The 16842-nt window shown below is 49.3% G+C and overlaps 1 long non-coding RNA gene across 1 annotated transcript, besides 7 other annotated features; it reads right to left on the bottom strand.

The window, feature by feature from the left end:
- Positions 6339 to 6864: an enhancer, noted in NCBI's record as "H3K4me1 hESC enhancer chr15:70795833-70796358 (GRCh37/hg19 assembly coordinates)". NCBI's record gives its function as "activates a minimal SCP1, AML or CMV promoter by ChIP-STARR-seq in primed H9 embryonic stem cells {active_cell/tissue: H9 hESC(primed)}" and the evidence as "EXISTENCE:reporter gene assay evidence [ECO:0000049][PMID:30033119]".
- LINC02205 (long intergenic non-protein coding RNA 2205) lies at positions 6752 to 8773 on the bottom strand. The gene is made up of 2 exons (NR_146562.1): positions 8754 to 8773; positions 6752 to 6970 (listed from the first exon to the last, which is right to left on the bottom strand). It is a non-coding gene; the product is annotated as a long intergenic non-protein coding RNA 2205 (long non-coding RNA).
- Positions 6865 to 7388: an enhancer, noted in NCBI's record as "H3K27ac-H3K4me1 hESC enhancer chr15:70796359-70796882 (GRCh37/hg19 assembly coordinates)". NCBI's record gives its function as "activates a minimal SCP1, AML or CMV promoter by ChIP-STARR-seq in primed H9 embryonic stem cells {active_cell/tissue: H9 hESC(primed)}" and the evidence as "EXISTENCE:reporter gene assay evidence [ECO:0000049][PMID:30033119]".
- Positions 6902 to 7041: an enhancer, noted in NCBI's record as "active region_9693". NCBI's record gives its function as "activates an Ori minimal core promoter by ATAC-STARR-seq in GM12878 lymphoblastoid cells {active_cell/tissue: GM12878}" and the evidence as "EXISTENCE:reporter gene assay evidence [ECO:0000049][PMID:35858748]".
- Positions 7142 to 7281: an enhancer, noted in NCBI's record as "active region_9694". NCBI's record gives its function as "activates an Ori minimal core promoter by ATAC-STARR-seq in GM12878 lymphoblastoid cells {active_cell/tissue: GM12878}" and the evidence as "EXISTENCE:reporter gene assay evidence [ECO:0000049][PMID:35858748]".
- Positions 7322 to 7371: an enhancer, noted in NCBI's record as "active region_9695". NCBI's record gives its function as "activates an Ori minimal core promoter by ATAC-STARR-seq in GM12878 lymphoblastoid cells {active_cell/tissue: GM12878}" and the evidence as "EXISTENCE:reporter gene assay evidence [ECO:0000049][PMID:35858748]".
- Positions 8662 to 8711: an enhancer, noted in NCBI's record as "active region_9696". NCBI's record gives its function as "activates an Ori minimal core promoter by ATAC-STARR-seq in GM12878 lymphoblastoid cells {active_cell/tissue: GM12878}" and the evidence as "EXISTENCE:reporter gene assay evidence [ECO:0000049][PMID:35858748]".
- Positions 15618 to 15697: an enhancer, noted in NCBI's record as "active region_9697". NCBI's record gives its function as "activates an Ori minimal core promoter by ATAC-STARR-seq in GM12878 lymphoblastoid cells {active_cell/tissue: GM12878}" and the evidence as "EXISTENCE:reporter gene assay evidence [ECO:0000049][PMID:35858748]".

The following is a 16842-nucleotide window of genomic DNA, read 5'->3' on the forward strand; positions in this document are numbered from 1 at the left end:
GCCCAGATTTTAATCATTGTGCTGTGACGTGGCAGCTGTCTTCTCTCACTCTATTGGCCCGAGCTGTAATTTATTATGTACATATCTATCTTCCTTTATACATAGTTGTTTCCTAGATGGCAAGGGCCTTTACTTTATCCCATAGCCTCCGCAGCTAGCCCAGAGCCCTGCATACAGTAGGCACTCAATAAATGCTGGCCGAACTGGATTTGACTGAGTGCAGAGAGCTTTCTTGTCCTGTCCCCGGCCTCACAGGCCAACCCAGTCCTCCTCCCAGGAATCCCCTCAGCCCCACCTGTCTATTCTGGGTAGTGAAAGTTTACTGGTGCCTAATGGGGTGGAGTGTTTGTGGGTTATCTCAGGATGGGCGAAGGCAGGAACCTTTTCTGTGTGGGTAATTTATCTACCTAGAAAGATTACAAACTCACAGCAGAAGAAGGCAAAATATACATCTTCCCTTTTCTTTATTTTCTTCCTTGCTCTTGCTGCTTATTTATTGAATGCTTCCATTGTATGAGGCACGGGCTGAGTCCTAGGGGAGCATGCCTCCCCGCTAAAGTAGCGTTACACCAAGTGCACTCTGTGGACAATCCACTGGTTTAAAACAGAGTCCTTGACTTGCCACCAACCCTCCAGATTCCAATTCTGCAGGGCCAGCCTGAAGCCCTGCCCTGCCTGGCTTTAACAAGCCATTTCTGACGTGAAGCCATCAACAGCTGCTGAGCCATAGAAATCCCCAAGCTGGCATCTAAGCCATCAGCGACATGGCAGTTCGGTGATTCACTGAAGGTCTGACTGTACAGGGAAGGGGGCTTTGGGCATCCTGGCCCCCTTGCTGCCCACAGGGAACTAGGGCCTCCTATCTCCAACTGGCTCACTTGAAACGTCCCTTCCCCCAGGAAGTTCTCTGATTTCTCAGGCCAGGTTCCATGCACCCTTCCTTGTCCATTCATAGGCCCCACTGCAATGGCCTGGTCATTTGCCTCATGCCTGCGCTGGACGGTGAGATGCTGGAGGGCTCTGATTCACTAATGCACGGTGTCTGGCCCACGTTGCTTGTTTGTCCAAATAAATAAAACATTTTAACCTGCCCAATACAGCCTGGCTTGAAAACATATGAGCCACCCATCCATCTGGGTTCCAGAGGGCAGTCAGGGTGGGGGTGGAATCAGAGAAGAGGAGGGACTCAGTGGTGCTGGCACCAGCTCCCAAGGGGGAGTTGACAGGGAAGCCCGGCGGAGCTCCAGGCAGATCAGGTGAACACGCGCAGCGACATGCTCTGGTCTGAAATGCAGCCCCAAATTCTGCCCCAGAGAATCCTGAACAGCCAAGGCCAAAAGGGACCTCAGGGAAGCCAGCCCCTATGGTGGTCTTTTCCCCGTGAACTCCACGTGGTAGCTGCCTTTGTCTGCCTGGGGTTTGTTGAATTGTCACTTGGCTTTTCCACACTCGTTATGGAGAGAGAACACTAACTGGCAACTCCATTAGCAAGCACAACCAGGAAAGCCACATGCCCAGGACACCATGGAGCAGGGGAAATAATGCAGGCCTCAAAACCAAATAGATCTCGGTTCTCCTCCACAGTTTGGCTCCTAGCTGTGTGACTTCGGGTCATAATGTGCCCTTTCTGGGCCTCTATTTCCCCACTTGTAAGATGGAAATAATCTTTGACTCAAAGTTGGGGTGAAAAATAGATGATAAAGCAATTCTAGAGGGCCTAGGAATTCTTCCCCACCCTGCTATGACTGTGTCCCACCTCTTGTTTGAGGACTTTCCCAACACTGATCATTCATCTGCCTGAATGTCCTCTCCCAGTGGGGTCTTCCACTGGTTTTTGGTCCAGTCCTCCATGATGTGGGCAACCTGTTGTTGCAAAGCTCTGGTTAGGGCAGAGGTTATCTCTGCACACCCCTTAGATAATGCATCACTTCTTCCGAGGCTGAAACATGTCTTTCCTAAGTGGAGGAGAGCACAGGGCATGATCCCCCAAGAGGTCGTGAGCTCCATACACCTGCACTGGGCTCAGTGACACCTCTGCAACCTGGTCAAATTCTTAGTGATGTCTCTTCCTCAGACAGGCCTCAGAAGAAGGGTATCTTCCTTTCAGTATTTGTAGGGGAAGCTGAAGCCCCCGGAGACTTTGAGCCAGGGAGCACCCAGAATTATTAGCACCCTGGGGTGTGGAGGCCCCTTCCATCACTGACATGCACACATCTGATAAAGTGGTGTGGGCTCTTCCTGGGCACAGCAGAGGCCTCATGGTGGCCAAGGAAGACCCTGAACCACTCCCAACAATGGCAGACAGGCCCCTTCCCTTCCACAGAGCTGCAGTGGGCACAGATGATCATTACAGCAAATCGAGAGGCTGAGAATTAAGGGGAGTGTCCTCTGGATGGAAAACATAAAGAGGGGATAATGACGTGTGTGTCACGAGAGCCTCCTGCATGCCAGGCCCTGGGCTAAGGCTGTTTGCAGACATTATTTTCTGGCTGACCCTCACGCCGATCCTTACAGGGAGGAGCTGCCACTTGCTCCATTTTGCAAATGAGGACACTGAGCTGCACAGAATGTAAGTTACATGGCCCACCACAAGTTAGCGAACACTCACGATCCAAAGCCCCCAGGCCTGATTCCAGAGCCCTAATGCTTTCATCCCCCAAAGTGCAAATTCAAGGAGCTGGTTCTTGTGGGCTGGAATCTCGTTTTTCAGCTCCTCCCTAAACAAGCTCCATTCCACCCACCCTCAAATAGGTTCCCATCCACATCCAAGGGAGGAAATTGACATCCCCAAGCCAGGTGGCCAGGAGCCAGCATGTTCCAAACCTGGCCCTGTCACCCAGAAGCCATCAGCGCCTGCTGCTCCTGCAGGAGCCACACAGCACTGTGCTCACAGACCAAGCCTTAGTGCCACCGGGACCCAGGCCTGTGTCCCGGCTCCAACAGCCCCCAGCTCTGTAACTGAAGGAAAACAACTTCAACTCTCTGAATGTCAGCTTCCCACCTGTGATATTTGGACAAGAATCTTTATTTTAGACTCATATAAACTAAATAAGATAAAGAATACATGAAGAGTCTGGCATGTAGCTCATGCTCGGCTAATGCTAGTTCCTCACGTGAGTTCCCTGTAAGGCAACACCCCCCCAGACAAAGCACATCATTCCATCAGCTGCTTCTGATTTTTTCTGGTACCCCTCTCCCTCACCAAGAAAGGAGATAACTAAATATTTCTGGGTAGGAGGCAGGAAATAACTAGGTAGGCCCCAGCTGCCTTCGCATATTACTTTAAATTTTTATGAAATGAGGAAATTCTCTCTCTCACCTCCAAGTTCCTGGGCTTGATGAATCCAGCCCCGGAGGAAAACATTCGCTGCTACTCTCTGGTGGGTGTGTGGGTGGAAAAAGCAGATATTCCCTGGTCCCACCACCCCCAGGCCCACCGAAGCAAAAGATGAGTCCTTTGTCTTCACTGATGCCAGGCAGGGAGGTGGGCATATCTTGAATTATCCTACAGTAGAGCTCACACCGAAATGCACTTCTAGGCTTTAGGAATATCCAGGATATTAAAAGCCAAATGTACAGAGGAATTCTATCAGGAAATGGGCAGACGCCATCCCCATTTCAAGGGAAAGGACATGGACATGCGTATAAAGACTTGGAGAGTCCCCAGACGTCAGAGGCACCAGCAGCCTCCTCTGACTGGCCCTGCGACCATTCCTCAGGCCAAATGTCTTGACAATGTGCATCAGAAAGCCTGAATCTGCCCGGGCACAGTGGCTTACCCCCTGTAATCCCAGCACTGTGGGAGGCTGAGGTGGGAGGCTCTTGAGCCTAGGAGTTCGAGACCAGCCTGGGCAACACAGCCAGACACTGTCTCTATTGAAAGTTAAAAAAAAAAAAAAGAAAAAAGAAAAAAGAAAAAAAAACCCTGAATCTGCCCATGTAGATGTGGCTTCCACGATCAGACAAACAGCCCTTTATAAAAACTTGTAAGAAACAGTTCCTTGTGGGGGTGGTGGAGTGGGTAGGAGGGTTCCAGGGCATGGGGGCAGCAGGCGAATAGAGGCACCCATCGTCTCCCACTGAGAGGATGCCCAGGCACCCACATGCCTGCCCTCTATGCCTAGAACCCACCCCCTCACCCGGACTGGCCAGTCAGAGTGGTCGCGCTCCCACAGACTCCTCAGGCCTGGTGGTATATAGTGTCTAAGGGTGGTAGGGTGGGGATTGGGCAGAGGGAGGAGAAGGAGCCTCATCACTTGTTGGTGCTTCAAGAGCATGAGGCTCCCACACATAAATAGCCCAGAGTCACCCAAACCTGGCTCTGGAGCCAGACTGGTTTCAGATCCCAGCTCTGCCACAGGCTGTGTGACCTCAAGCAAGTCACTTAACCTCTCTGAGCCTTAGCTTCCTCTTCAGAAAAATAGGGACAATAAAACTACCTGCCGTGTTGTCAACATGGATTAAATAATAATGAATGTGCCTGAGGTATTGTTTGAGATCATCTGGAATCTATTATTACGGTAACGCTTCTGATCAAGGGGAAGGGGTTGGGCTGCCCCTCTACTTCCTCCCCCAGTGCCCACAGTTGCTACCCTCCAGGGGCTTCTTCCCCTTTCGTGGCTGCCCTGTCTTCAGTGTCCATTTTACCTCAATGTCACCTGCATCTTGGGTCATCAATTGGCCTCAATTCACCTGCAGAAAGCCCATGAAATGTCCCAGCATAAGCCTCCTGGCTGCAGGAAAGGTTCAGCTCTCTGTGCAGATACCAAGATGGGCTTGTATGAGAAGTGACAGTGAACACCAGAAAGGACCTGGGTAGTCAGGGAAGAAGAGGCCCCATACCAGGAGTCAGGGCCCGTGGGCGCCAGCCCCAAGTCTGAGCCACTTCTCCGCTCTGGGTCCAGCTCTTCTTTGAATAAAACAAGAAGGTTGGACCAAAGCTGTAGATTTCAAATTGTGCTACTTGGTGACACCTCCATACCCACGGGCCCAGGAGGGCAAGGCTGAGATGGCACAACTCTCTCTCTGGTCTGTTTGATATGGTATTGGGGCCCCATGGGTGTTCTCACTTGAGACAAAATCAGCTCCTGCAAAACCACCACTCCACCAACTGCCCTGGACATCTGCCTAGACCCTGGGCCAAGTCAGGAGGAGGTGGTCAGTTCAGTTGCTGAATGAATTATGGGAAGAGCGGGCCACTGATATGGGAAGAGCAAGTCCTGATGGAAGTGCATGGAGAAAGGAAAAAGAAGAAAACCCGGTAAGCAAGAAAGAGGGTGTCTAGAAAAGAAAAGGGATTGAAGTGGAGGGGGCTTCCAGGGTCCCCATGCACCAGCGCCCACACCAACCTCACGAGGGGCTGGCCAACCTGTACGCCAAAAGGGGCTGCTCTCTCTCTCCCAGCAGCTCCACCATCTTCTGCCCTGAATGTCTGATGGCCCCGCAGGAAGGACGGTGCTTCCCAGATCTGGAGCAGTGGAGGCCGAGCCGGTAATGAGACCCCCTGGGTCCCCTCCTGCAGTAGCCATGCTGCATCTGGCAACCAGCTGGGCCCTCCCTCCCTGCTGCCACCCCCTCCATCCACGCCATGCTTGTTTGTTTCAACTGAAGCTCACAGTGTAAGAGCCACAGATCTCACTGACGGCTAATGGCCAGGGCTGGGCTGCCCGGCCAGGTTCCCATGGCGGGCTGGTCAGACCGCCATCCCACCTGTGCCCACACCAGTCCCTCCACCTACTGCCTCCTCCACTTAGCATTTTTTTCTGGGCAGAAGAACCTTCTAGAGAGGTCTCAATGCTCAATAATGACAGGCACTGGCACCTGCCACTTCTAGCATCTGAGAGATAGGTAGGTCCATTTAACAGATGAGGAAAATAAGGTCCAGAGAACAACTTGTCCAGGTCCACACAGCTACTTGGGTAGAAGCAGCACTTGAACCCCGGTCTTCTGATTCCAAAGCGAGCACCCTTGCCAACAATAACAACCACTGCATATCAGCCATACTCATGTCAGTCTTTCTGACATTCATTTACATATTTACATCACAAGGTGAAAAAGAAACTAGTCAAAAGTAATAGGCAAGAAAACTTGAGACACTGATTCTCACAGTGTCACATGGAAGGAGAGAAGGGGCCTTCCATTTGTCACCACTTTCAGAGTGGGCCTTTACATCCTCAGTATTCAAATGTAGAAACTGAGGCCCAAGGAGGTTAAAGAACCGAAGTCGCCCCATGTTTCATGCAGCAAGACCATCACAGGCCAGAAAGTAAGCCATTTCCACTCCCCAAACCGCCCCCCAAGCTGGGCAGAGCGCTCACTGTGCACCTTCTGTGCTCTCTGCAGACAGCAGAGTGCTGGATGCTGAGGCTCCTGTCTCAGGGGAGCTGATGGTGTGAAGGAAGGGGTTAGAATAATGTCGCTTCCTGCAAGAAGCTTCCTACAAGAGTCCCCTGGCTCCCTGGCCTGGGGCCAGGACTTGGTCACACCCTTTCCTCGCACCCTGTCCCTTTTCTTCACACCACAAATCACAGCCTGTCATTCTACATAGGGGGGGTTAACCAGGTGAAGCTTCTGTCCCTTTTCTAGAGTGTGCAGAGACCCAGTCTCTGCCCAGCACAGAGCCTGGCACAAGGAGACACCCATAAACAGCTGAATGAATGAATGCATGAAGGAACAAATGTTGAAGCAGGCAGTGAAGTGGGAGGGCAGAGAATAGAGAGAGGGGTACAAACGCAGCCGCCCAGGGAGAGCGTAGAAGAGAAAGGTTGCATTTATCTGTGGGCGGGGAAGACAAGCCATGGCGGGTATCCACAGCAGAGCTCACCCCCGAGACCAGCCCAGGGCCTCGCGGCTGCTCTTCTCTTAAACAGGCAGTGGAAGACAGGGGAGCGGGCTCCATTTCCACCGTGCTCCCAGCCTGCTGGAGACCTTGCTTGGGGGCCTTTGCTCCTCTGGGCCTCAGTTGCTTCTGCTGTAAACAGAGGATGGAGTTGTCTTTGTCAACCTTTGAAAACACTTCTATTTCTGAAACCTCACAGCTGGGCCCAGCCTGCAGCTCTCAGGGTTTCTTCCCTCAGCACCAAAAGCCCATCCCCTAAAGCCTTGAACCCCAGCAGGGAACACTGCCTCCAAGACAGCTGGGATAGGGGCTGACCCTGAAGTGGCCACGTGGTTCCCAAAACTTGTAAGAGTTCCCCTAAATTCCCCTGGGTCTACTTATGGCCCCAGGCCAGCTGTGCCTTACTCACAGCCACAAGGCCTGGCTCTGCTGAATCTCAGCTCTGTGGTCTTGGGCAAGTCACCATGAGCCTCAGTGTTCCCATCTGTGAGACAGGAGAGGAGCCTTATGCCAGCAACACCCCTCCCCAAAGTGACTGTGAGCTCCAGGTGGAATCAGTGAAGCTCTGCATGTAGAGGGAGGACATCAGGACCAGGGAGGAATGTGTCTTTGAGGTGGCCTCCCCTCTCCACCCCGTCTTGTTCCCATGAATGACACGCTGTGTCCTGGGGCCTTTCTTCTTTGTAATCCCAGTGTCACTGAGGGCAGCTGAAGTGCTGCTTCTTCCCAGAGCTGTGTCAATGTGGGGGTGGGGGAATCTCCTGAAAGCCAGATCAGCACCCTCTAACCTCAAGGTTCCTGGCAGTCATCAAGGGAGCGCCTGGGGACAGGAAGCACTGAGCTTCCTCCACCAGCTGCACACTCGGCCAGCTCCTGAGAGGCTCTGGGCTCAACAGAGCCCAACGTCCGGTGTGACCTGCAGAAGCTCCTCCCCCGATGCCAGCACCTGAACCTCGGGGTACTGCCTGGTGACGAGTGGCGGAGCTAAGATGCCAGCTCCAGAATGTTCCTCAGGGAACCTCTCACTGCACAGACAAGGGGGCATGAGCTACCCAGCGCCCCCCGGCGAGGCAGTCCCAGGCCCCGACATTTCAGCTGCATGTGGTGCCCCACAGGTGCCCATGAGGAGGAGCTGAGACTGCAGAGGGGAGCGGCCCGCTGGGTCCATCTGCCCACCTGCGGCACGGGGGCGTCTGACGGGCACCCCCACGGCACCCCAACACGGGGGCTTAGGGACTCCCACATCTCCATTATGAGGGCTCAGATTTGTGGGCCAAATTCAAGCCTGAAGCTTCTCTGTTATTTGGCTGCAAAAGAATTCCTGGTGGGAGTGAACACCACCCACCCCTAACAAGGTGTCAGCCCTTTACCTTCTAGCTCCTGCTGCTCCCAAACCCCAGAAAAACCCACTCTGATTTGGCCTTGAAAACCAGAACAGTGACCCTTGCTGGCAGCCAAATGTTTGCACCACAGGCTCTGACATCCAGGCGTCTTAGGGTTGTCTTAGACATCCAGACAGCAAGACAGGCAGTGGGCAGCAGACCAGAGGTGATTGAATGGCCAACTACACCCCATGTGAGAGCAAAGTCCATGAGGGATACCCCTCTCCCCAATTCTTCTGGGGCCTTCCCTCCCCATAACACTTCCATCTGCCCAGACAAGGGCTTCTGGTGCCAGGGGCAGCTCCCTTCTTATCCTTTATACTTGGCTGTTTGTGCAGACCACACAAAGATGAGTCATGCTGAAAGGCAGAACCTGCCCAGGGCTCCGTGAGTAATTTAGGCACTCACTCTACTTCTATTAAATCCCCTTCCCTTGAGGATATTAATGGGAAAGAAATCTGACTAAAGTAATTCACACTCAGGTGTAGCTGACTAATAGCACTATGCGGGTGGGGAGAGGTGGGGAGGATTACCTTTTAGGTGTCTTGCTAACCCCAGATAGAGGAAGAAATCTCAGGCAGTTGACCAACCCATGATATCAGCCCTGAAGGCAGCTTAAGAGAAAAGGCAGGGGGTTGCATTAGTTCCCCAACATCTCTGCCGGGAAAGGACCTCAAGATCCATTATGCATTTGTGAGGTTAATCACAGCATCATAGCTGCTCAGAGTCAGAAAGACCTCACAGGCCAGGCAGACCCCTGGGGTATGCAAATGTGTGCAAACTAACATCCAGATTGGCATTCATTATTCTGTGGTCACCAGCTGAGGGACTTCTGTGTGGAGCACAGCTACGCTGCTGGCAGGAGCCCTGATGTGGAGCAACAATATCCTACTGGAAATGCCCAGGGTGGCCTTGGAGAAACTCCAGAGGGGCACAGGGATTGGCCTGCTGGACCCAGCTCTGGAGGACCAGCCAGAGATGCACACACACTCACTCAAGATGAAGTGCAAGCCTGTGTGTTTTAGTAAAAGGCAAATCTGAAACCGCCTTTGCAAAAATCATAACTAAGGAAATTATGACAGTGAGAGAAACCTGACAGGGCTGACTCCATCTTGTCTCAAGCCTCACAAGTTGGCTCTCTTTGCTCATTCTTGGGCTTGGGCCAAGCTAACTCTGGGAGACATTTATAGTTTAAATAACAGCTCTTCCCAAAAGCTAACGTGTTCTTGTAAAACAAATAAAAGGCCACCAAGTTAGGATAAGAGGGGCTTGAATTCTAATTATTATCAGCTATTGTTCTGGAGGTCATAAGATTTACAACTTCTCCAATTACTCTTGAAGATAACATCACTGTTGTAGAACCTAACATTGGCCTTTTGAGATAACTTTTCAGTTTTTTGCATGTCTGGCAACCTGATGGCCCCAGCTGGACCTGCCAACCACTTCTGTGGCCCCCACCCAGGAACCGCCTCAGCATAAGAGGACAGCTTTGACTCCTTATGATTTCATCCCCAAGCCAACCAATCAGCACTCCTGACTCACTGTCCTCCTACCCACTAAATTATTCTTAAAAACACCGATCCCTGAATTCTCAGGGAGACTGATTTAAGTAATAATAAAACTCCAGTCTCCCGTACAGCCGGCTCTACATGAATTGAACTCTTTCTCTATTGCAACTCCCCTATCTTGATAAATTGGCTCTGTCTAGACAGCAGGCAAGATGAACCTGATGGGCAGTTACAAATCATGCAAAGATGATATGAAGCAAATTACAGGGGAATGACCACAAAACAATCACCATCTCTCCCTGCCTGGTAAGGGTCCTACAACCCTGACAGAGGCGGTATAGAGCGGCAAATCAGGGGGAAGGGATAGCCTCTCACCACACCCAAATGTCCTCCAGCACCATCCTCCTTGGTCTGTTGCCCAGCAGTGCTCTGGGCCAGATACCTGTGCTCGGCACTGAGGGGCACCCAGTGTGACTCAAGCAGAGTCTCTCCCCCAGAAGGGGTTACTGGAGCCACATGTCCAACCACCAGGTCAGGTGAGAACTGAAGCTCAGAACCTCCATGCCAGGATGGGTCTCCATCTGTCCATTATCCACTACTGTTGTGTAGACTGTGCAAAGATGAGTATCAGGCTGGGCGCCGTAGCTCATGCCTGCAATCCCAACACTTTGGGAGGCCAAGGTGGGTGAATCACTTGAGCCCAGGAGTTCAAGACCAGCCTGGGCAACAAGGAGAAACCCCACCTCTACAAAAAATACAGGCACACACAAAAAATTAGCAGGGTGTGGTGGCACGCACCTGTAGTCCCAGCAACTCAGGAGGCTGAGGTGGGAGGGTCTACTGAGCCTAGGAGGTTGAGGTTGCAGTGAGCTGTGATTGTGCCACTGCACTCCAGCCTAGGTGTCAAGATGAGACCCTGTCTCAAAAAAAAAAAAAAAAAAAAAAAGAAGAAAAGAAAAGAAAAGGAAAAGATGAGTAACAGCTCTCCAAGGCAGGGCTCACCCAGGGCCTCACAGATAACCACTCATGTTGAACAAACCTTGCCTCACCAGGCTCTTAAAAGTGAATTTCAACAGAGGGACAAGTGAATGGAATGAATAAATAAATATTTACCATGTAGTATGAGTCAGGCACAGCAAATAGGGTGTCTTGTTTACTCACAGTGGCCTTAGGAGGAAGGTATTAGCATCTCCAATGGACTATTGAGGAACTAAGACTCAAAAAGATTAAGTGCCTCACCACGTCACACAGCTAGAAATTGATATGACCTCCACATTCATGGAGAAGTGAGGGGAAGTGGAGGGAGCTAAGGTTAATGTGGGTGATGTCAGAGGTACTGGTGACTTGCAACTGCCCTCCCCCTCATCTGGCCCCTCCCACTTCCAGCATGCACTCTCTCACCCACCTCATGCCCCAGCACTCACACACAATTCATGCTGTAGAGCACAGTTGGGCAAGGCAAGTGGCAGCTTTGAGCTCCCTCTGGAAGGGGCAGGGGAGGGGGAAATCATGCCCTTAGAGGCCCCTCCCCAACCCCTCCCTCCCCACCCCCAATCTGCTGCAGCATCTGCCTCCCCAGTGTCAGCATCAAAGATTCATCAAAGCTGAAGCCCAGCAAAGTGTGTGCTTCACATCTCTAAATGTGCTTCTTCCCAATGAAAAATTCAGTGGAAAATGCAGGGAGTTAAAGAGGGGAGAAAAAAACAGATTTGAGAAGGAAACAGGGAAGGAAGAAGAGAAAAGAGAGCTGCCTCTGCACTGTGGTTCCACTGAATCCACCCACACTTACTGAGCATCTGCCTTATTTAGGGCACTGTACCAGGCACAGAGGTGCGACCGCCAAATACAGCCTCATAGGCTGCGCACTGCACAACTTTGGGGGAACCATTCCCAGAGATGCATTCTGGCTCCTGTCCAAATGGCGTGGGAGTCAGGAGGCCTGGGTGTCTGAGTCTGCTCCGCCACTCATTAGTCATCTAACATTCTTGAGTCTCAGATTTCTCACATCCAAGCCAGAGGTTCCAATACCCACCCCTCTCTTCTTCCAGTGCCCTGAGGAACATGTGCACAGGTTGTAAACTGTTGTGATAAAAAGAAAGTAGATAACTCATCCTACAGAGAAGCCCAAACAATGGGTTCAGGAAAAGAAGAGGAAGGGACCATTTCCAGTGGGGACAGTAGAGGGGGCTGCTTCCTGGAAGAGATCTTTGATCCCAGTTGTAAAGGATAAGGAGGAGTTCAGCAGACAAGCCACTGTGACAAATGAGCAGCTACTGCAGGTCCAGGCAGAGTGACAATGTGGGCAAACACCCAGATAGAGGAATGAACAACTTGGGCAGTGAAAGGGACTGTCTGGTTTGGCCCAGGAGGAGCTGGTGTAGGAAGTCCAACAGAAGGATGGACTTAGCTGATAATAAGATGAAAAAAGATTTTATCACTACAAGGAAGGCCTTGAGTGGCCTGCAGGTGTGGCAAGGAATCAGGAGATTGCTCGCCTCCACCTCTCATTGGTTTTGTCACTTTAGATGAGTCACAGCTTCCCTCAAACCTCAGTTTCCTCATCCATAAAATGAGGACATCAGACCAAGTGATCTGCAAGTTCCTCTTTTGGCTCATTTGGTCTGTACTTCTAGTTCTAAGAAGTTGTTCCGTTGGCCATGGGGGTATCCCAAGAAGCTCAGGTTGACAAGACTTACCCAGGGCTTCCTCATAGGGCACCCCCAACCCTACATCCTCATTTCAAATCAGTCTCTTGTTGCTGTGCTTTGGACAGAGGATCCTCCAAGTACATGTGAGTGAGCCTTCCTGGACGTGAGGCTTTACCTTCCTCTACAGTGGAGACTCAGCACAGCTCCCACCCCACCCGGCAGACAAGCCAGGAGCACCCACACCTAGAGCAGCCCTGAGTAAGCAAGCAGCACTCACAGCGCTGGTGTCACTAGCTTAGGCCCAGGAACGTCCAGGGTGAGCAGTTGTACCCCACAGGCTGCACACTATGCCCTGCACACCAGCATCCCCAGCCAGGTGTGACCTGAAGATAAGTCTCCACATCCTAGCCAGTCACATGCCTCTCAGACAGAACCAGAGTGACACTGTGAAATAACAGGTCCCTGAGCAACCTACACATGGGCAGGGCTGGGGAGCTTCCAGCTTCTGTGACTAAACCTTCCCTCTCCTCCCCTGTGGGAAGTGTGGTGCCTCCCCAGCCCAGCTCTGGGAGCAGCACAGAGGAGCGGTCTCTGGCTTGGGCCTTGGGGTTAGTTGTGTGAGCTGAGAGTCTCAACTCCACTCCTTGCTAGCTAGATAATCTTGACCTTGAACAAGTTCCTTATCCCTCCTAAGCCTCAGTTTGCTCTTACCTGTAAAATAGGAATAATAACATCCCTCTTGTAGGGTTAATGTGAAGATACAATGTGATCCTGCTTTTAAGGCACCCTACCCAGTGTCCTGCTCAGTGACCTGCTCATAATGAGAGTCCAAAAGATGGTAGAATTTGCTGGTAGAAAAAAATCAAGGAGGACCCTTCCTTAACTCGTTCTATGAAGCTGGCACCATCCTGATACCAAAATCTGGCAACGGCACAGTAAAAAAAGAAAACTATAGGCCAATATCCTTGAAGAACATAGATGCAAAAATCTTCAACAAAATACTAGCAAACCAAATCCAACAGCACACAAAAAAGTCAATTCACCACCATCAAGTAGACTTTATTCCTGGAATGCAAGGTTGGTTTAACATACACAAGTCAATAAATGTTATTCGCCCCTCATAAACAAACTTAAAAGCAAAAATCATATGATCATGTCAATAGATGCAGAAAAAGCTTTCAATAAAATCCAACATCTCTTTATGATTAAAAAAAAACCCTCAACAAACTAGGCATCAAAAGAACATACTTCAGAAGACTAAGAACCATCTACAACAAACCCACAGCCAATATCAAACAGAATGGGCAAAAGCTGGAAGCATTCCCCTTAAGAACAGGAATAAGACAAGGATGCCCACTCCCACCACTCCTATTCAACATAGTACTGGAAGTCCTAGCCAGAGCAATTAGGCAAGACAAAGAAACAAAAAGCTTCCAAGTAGGAAAAGAAATCAAATTATCTCTCTTCACTGACAATATGATTCTATACCTAGAAAGCCCTAAAGACTCTGCCAAAAGGCTCCTAGAACTGATAAACAACTTCAGTAAAGTTTCAGGATACAAAGTTAATATACAAAAACCAGCAGCATTTTTATAAACCAATAATATTCAAGCTGAGAGCCACATCAAGAACTCAATCCCATTTACAATAGCCACTCAAAAAAAAAAAATACCTAGGAATACATCCAACCAAGGAAGTGAAAGATCTCTAAACAGAACACTACAAAACACTACTGAAATACTGAAAGAAATCATAGGTAACACAAACAAATGGAAAAATGTTCCATGTTTGTGGACTGGAAGAATCAATACTGTTATAATGGTCATACTGCCCAAAGCAATCTACAGATTTAATGCTATTCCTATCAAACTACCAACATCATTTTTCACAGAATTAGAAAAAAATTCATATGGAACACTTACAACCATTTGATCTTTGACAAAGTCAACAAAAATAAGCAATAGGAAAAGAAATCCCTATTCAATAAATATTTGATGCTGGGATAACTGACCAGCTATATGCAGAAGAATTAAACTGGACCCCTACATTTCACCATATACAAAACTTAACTCAAGATGGATTAAAGACTTAAATGTAAGACCTAAAACTATAAAAATCCTAGAAGAAAACCTGGGAAATACCATTCTGGACATCAGCCTTGTCAAAGAATTTATGACTAAGTCCTCAAAAGCAATTACAACAAAAACAAAAATTGACAAATGGGACATAATTAAGGAACTTCTGCACAGCAAAAGAAACTATCAACAGGGTAAACAGACAACCTACAGAATGGGAGAAAATATTCACAAACTATGCATCCAACAAAGGTTTAATATCCAGAATCTATAAGAAACTTAAACAATTAAACAAGCAAAAAAACAAATAACCTCATTAAAAAGTGGTCAAAGGACATAAACAGACACTTCTCAAAAGAAGACACACAAGTGTCTGACAAACGTATGAAAAAAATGTTCAATATCACTAATCATCCAAGAAATGCAAATCAAAACCACAATGAGACACCATCTCACACCAGTCAGAATGGCTATTATTTAAAAGTCAAAAAATAACAGATGCTGGCAAAGCTGTGGAGAGAAAGGAACACTTATACACTGTTGGTGGGAATGTAAATTAGTTCAGCCACTGTGAAAAGGCAGTTTGGAGATTTCTCAAAGAACTGAAAATAGAACTATTATTCAACCCAGCAAGCTCATTAGTGGGTATATACCCAAAGGAATATAAATTGTTCTGCCAAAAAGACACATGTAGTCGTGTATTCCTCACAGCACTGTTCACAATAGCAAAGATATTAAATCAACCCAGGTGCCCATCAGCAGTGGATTGGATAAAGAAAATGTGGTACATATACACCATGGAATACTATGCAGCCATAAAAAAGAATGAAATCATGTCCTTTGCAGCAACATGGATGCAGCCAAAGGCCATCATCTTAAGCAAATTAATGCAGAAATAGAAAACCAAATACTGCATGTTCTCACTTGTAAGTGAGAGCTAAACATGGACACATAAACACATGTCCATAAACACATGGACATAAAGATGAGAACAGACACTGGGGACCACCAGAGTGGGGAGAGAGGGAGAGGGGCAGGGGCTGAAAAACTACCTATTGGATACCATGCTTATTACCTGGGTGACAGGGTCATTCATATCCCAAACCTTGGCAACATGCAATATACTCGGGTAAGAAATCTGCACATGTAACCCCTGAATTCAAAATAATAGCTGAAATTTTAAAAAAGAATTTGCTGGTGGGGCACCCTTCGGAGTTGGCAGCAAACCAGGCGGTCGTCCCAGGTGAATCCTTGAAGGTAGGGCTGGCCCTACCCAAAATTATGTACTCCATGCTTGGCTCTACAGCACCCTCTTCCTGCCAAGTCAGGCCACTACCACTGTCAGTGCAGCCCAGAGACTTGAGCACCCCACAGTGGCCGCACCTCTGCTCTGCTGGCCCCAAGTAAATGGCACACACAGCATAGTGGCTCCAACACTGAAGATTTTTCCTGGACACAGCAGCCCGTGGCCCTTTGTTGAGCCACACAAAGACAAAGCAGCTCAATTGCGATACCTAGCAGGCTAATGTAAGCTTGTACTCCCCCAAATTAAAAGGGATCAGTGGCATATATTAGTTATGCTAGAAAAAGAAACAAGATAACATTTTTTTTTTTAACAGAAAAGCAAAAATGACAGAGGTGCAGAGTGGGGAGAGGTGGGGCGAAGAATGAGGGGAAAAAAATCAATTTTCCACAAACTACATTCCAGGGCACAAAGTGGAGAATGGGAAAATTAGTTTCCAGAACGACTCCTGTCTACTTTGTCCAAAAAATAAGGTTGACCTAGGAAAGTCTAGTTGGGGCAGAGAAGTGCAAACCGCGGTGGGATAGCAGCCTGGCCGGGTCCTGTGCGAGCAAGGGGGCACACACTTCACCCAGCCCTACGCTCTAAGGGATCCTCACTACCCAGCCCCTGCTCAGGAACCTTGACTGCCTTTGTCATTGGCTGCAATCGGCACAGGGCCCTCTGTCTAGCAATGACAGAAAGTGCCTTTAAATGCAGAGTTTTAGAGTGCCCCCCAAATGATCAAGTACAAAGGGCTGAGCACTGCCTGTGAAATGAGAACTGACAGATACATTCTCTACCCTAAGTGCTCATACAAGTAACCCAAATGCCTTCAGCCCTCTGGATTTCAAGGGTCACCTTTCCTCTAATAACCCAATCACTGCCATCCAAGCAGCCATCTCATATGGCAGCAGGGAGGCCAGTGTTCCCTGGGATTTCTGGGCCTCCTCATGGGCTCCGAACATGTTCAATAGGATCAACAGGACACTGATTTTTCCTTATTACCTCCACCCCCAGCTATTTGGTCCCAGGCTGCACCTGCACTGCATGGGGGTCACCTCCTGCCATCTCATAATTTGATTCTCCAGGCCACCGCATGCACCACT

The sequence above is a fragment of the Homo sapiens genome, chromosome 15, assembly GCF_000001405.40.
Source record: "Homo sapiens chromosome 15, GRCh38.p14 Primary Assembly".
Taxonomy (NCBI): domain Eukaryota; kingdom Metazoa; phylum Chordata; class Mammalia; order Primates; family Hominidae; genus Homo; species Homo sapiens.